At 36.9% G+C, this 3,158-nt stretch overlaps 2 annotated features.

The window, feature by feature from the left end:
* Window positions 809-1,404: an enhancer, noted in NCBI's record as "OCT4-NANOG hESC enhancer chr5:83777066-83777661 (GRCh37/hg19 assembly coordinates)". NCBI's record gives its function as "activates a minimal SCP1, AML or CMV promoter by ChIP-STARR-seq in naive and primed H9 embryonic stem cells {active_cell/tissue: H9 hESC(naive and primed)}" and the evidence as "EXISTENCE:reporter gene assay evidence [ECO:0000049][PMID:30033119]".
* Window positions 1,405-2,001: an enhancer, noted in NCBI's record as "OCT4-NANOG hESC enhancer chr5:83776469-83777065 (GRCh37/hg19 assembly coordinates)". NCBI's record gives its function as "activates a minimal SCP1, AML or CMV promoter by ChIP-STARR-seq in naive and primed H9 embryonic stem cells {active_cell/tissue: H9 hESC(naive and primed)}" and the evidence as "EXISTENCE:reporter gene assay evidence [ECO:0000049][PMID:30033119]".

Genomic DNA, 3,158 nt, shown 5'->3' with positions numbered 1-3,158 from the left:
ATATAATCAAATTTATTGAAAGCTATAAAATTTTAAAGGGAATTAGACTAACAAAGGCACTGCTTGCAAGGATGAAACGAGTACTTCAAAATTTAAAAAAAGATCTATGGGTCCCTATGTTTCTTTCAACAGGAATTGGAAGAAACATCCTAAAAGGTATATTTTCCAATAACATTTTCAGAAGTGGCCAAAAGAGTGGAAATAAAAGGACATCCAAGAGGATGGAGATGAAAGGCAAGAAATGCAATGAACCGTGGACTGATTTCTAGGGAGCAGAACTAAACCCTGACCAAGAAAATTCTCTGTTCCTAGAATAAGTAGACCTGGTGGCATTTACCTCACTGGATTTCAGAATTGTCATGAAGCAGTGACTGCAATGTTTCTCGGCTTTCCCCTCAAGATGAGAGTGTTTCTGCAGTTTTTCTGGTTCTGTCTCACAATTATCTGTTGGGATACAGAAGAAAGATAACTTTTCTTTCCTCCGTTTTTCAAAGGTCTCTGGAGCAAAGGGAGTGTATCCAAAGACCTGCATCTAGTGTTGATACAGATTCTCAATTTCATGGCTTTCAGCCTGGTGCCATGATTGGATGACGTTTTGCAAGATCCTGGGATGGATGTACCATATATTGCCTTTGGAGGTATGTAACTAAGTTCAGTTAGCTTTCCAGAAGATGAGAAACACATGACTCCATTGTTCTTGTCACCCCGGAGAACCTCCTAGCTGACGTGTAGACCACAGATGCATGAGGAAGTCAAGCTGAATTCAGAAGAACTTACCAGCAGACTATATCTAAAATTGTTAACCTATAACTTTTATCCGTGTGTTAGGCAAAATATTTTTGTATTAACCTATCATAATGCCCTGGTTGGCACATAAAACCTAGGCTGTGTTTTAATATGTGAGCCCCTTAACCCTGGAAGTCAATCTGATTGTCAGTCTTATGAGATAATAGGGAGGAATATTTTCAGTCAATACAGAACAAGGACCAGTGGTCCCAAATCAGTGTTTTGTTGTTGTTGTTGTTGTTTGTTTGTTGTTGTTGTTTCCTGTTCTCATAGGGTTAGCCTCTAAGATTAGAAAATGGCAGACAATTCTGGACTTTCTGACAGACAATCCCCGACTTTCTGAGCTTCATGAAGCTCAACGAATAGCTAATGTCACCTCTTTTGATATGTATTACCCCCTACCAATATCAGCCACTGTGTGAGAGGTGAAAGCCATTCTGAGTGCTAGCTCTTCATTGTATTGTAACCCTAAAGCTGCTCTTGTGTGTAGGTCCCTGTAATCAGGGGAAATGACTATGCTTGCTTATCTTAATAAAACAGTAAGGAAGAATCCAGGATATAATAAGGAAAACACATCATTTATCTAAACTCTTCTTCTCTGGATTATCGATAAAACCTCAATTTGATGGGGGAATGAAGAGGAGAAAGTGTTTGAAACTCACCTTCTGAACCATTAACAATGCCTGGAAGGGTTACTAAGAATGTAAGACTTAAGGTATTCCAACCTGTGCTTCACCGGAGCTTCTCATCTGATTCATTTGTAAATATTGCTATTGTTTTCTTAGTGGTAAAAGCTATGCTTCAGACTGCGCAAGCATTGTCTTACTTAATCTTCACAGCTACTCCATGAGGTAAGCTATTATTTGCACCATTTTACAAGTGAAGAGTCTCTAGTCTGGGGAACTGAATTACTAAGTCTTGCAGTTAGCAATTGGCAGGGCCCTTACTCAAACACAAACACATATTATGACATAAAAGAGAATGCTATTAAAACTACATTTCACCCCAAATTTATAAGTTGTATTAATTTTTTTTATTAAAAACTGCTAATAAAATGTTTGAGGACCACTGGATTTCCCATTATGGAAACTCTAACACAACTTTCATTCTATGTTGTTTCAAGGGTATGCAAAGTATTTTAAAAACACAATTTTTAGGGAAAGAATTAGAAGTAATGATTCACCCACACTTTATGTTCTAACATTTTTTTTGGTAACATGACAGGTTTTTGATATGTAGAACATACCACCAGATACCAACTCTTCTGGGGAGTGGAATATATATTTCCTGGCATCACTATAGAAAATTAAAGATTGCTGGTTATGTTATTAAGACATAAATATGTCAAAGTGAGATTTCCCAAAATAAAATCTTGAAGCACAGATGCTTCAAGCTTTCTTATAGTAAAATATCTTGAAACATCAATTCTTTTTTTTTTTTTTTTTTTTTTTGAGACGGAGTCTCGCTCTGTTGCCCAGGCTGGAGTGCAGTGGCACCATCCCGGCTCACTGCAAGCTCCACCTCCCAGGTTCACGCCATTCTCCCACCACGCCCGGCTAATTTTTGTATTTTTAGTAGAAACGGGGTTTCACCATGTTAGCCAGGATGGTCTCGATCTCCTGACTTCGTGATCCACCTGCCTTGGCCTCCAGAAATGCTGGGATTACAGGCATTAGTCACCCAGCCCGGCCCAAACATCAGTTCTTTAGAGCATCCTAAAGTGCTGATTTAAAATAAAATAGTGATAGTGATTGTATGCCAATGTAATAAAGTGCTAGGTTAACAGACAAAATTACTGGATATGGAAACACACTTTGTTCTTTATTTAAATGTGAGGTACACCTGTCAATTGTGTATAGAAAAACATGATCTAGCTAGATTTAGTGTTAATGGAAAGCATTTAAAATTTAATTTGCTGAAAATGTTTTAGGAAAAACCCTGGAAGAATGATGAAATAAGGGATAAAGCATATTCTCAGTAGGCATCAGACCATCTTAGATTTCTCATAACAGTTGGGGCTTTGCAACTACCTCATTAAATCACCTGGAGTAACTTACTTGCATTTTGTCATAGTTTTCAAATCTTTGCAATGTAATTGTAAGTTAGATCATGTTTATGAAGATGCTAGGTTAAAATCTAAGAAACTAATTTTTAAATTTGTAGAGAAACAGTATAATATGTAGTACAAATACAGTGCTGTAGTGAGAAATACATTCTCATATACTTTTCATTAACTGTACCTTTTTTGTTGCATTATAACCCAGTCAAAAAATGATTATATTCAAAAAAATCATCATCTATAGTCACTGGATTTTTTTCTAGAAGATGAGACAACCATCAGGCCAGAGGAGGAGTGATAAAGCTATGCCTTT

The sequence above is a fragment of the Homo sapiens genome, chromosome 5 (genome assembly GCF_000001405.40).
Source record: "Homo sapiens chromosome 5, GRCh38.p14 Primary Assembly".
NCBI classification, from domain to species: Eukaryota; Metazoa; Chordata; class Mammalia; order Primates; family Hominidae; genus Homo; species Homo sapiens.
This window is presented reverse-complemented; position numbering and strand designations above follow the sequence as displayed.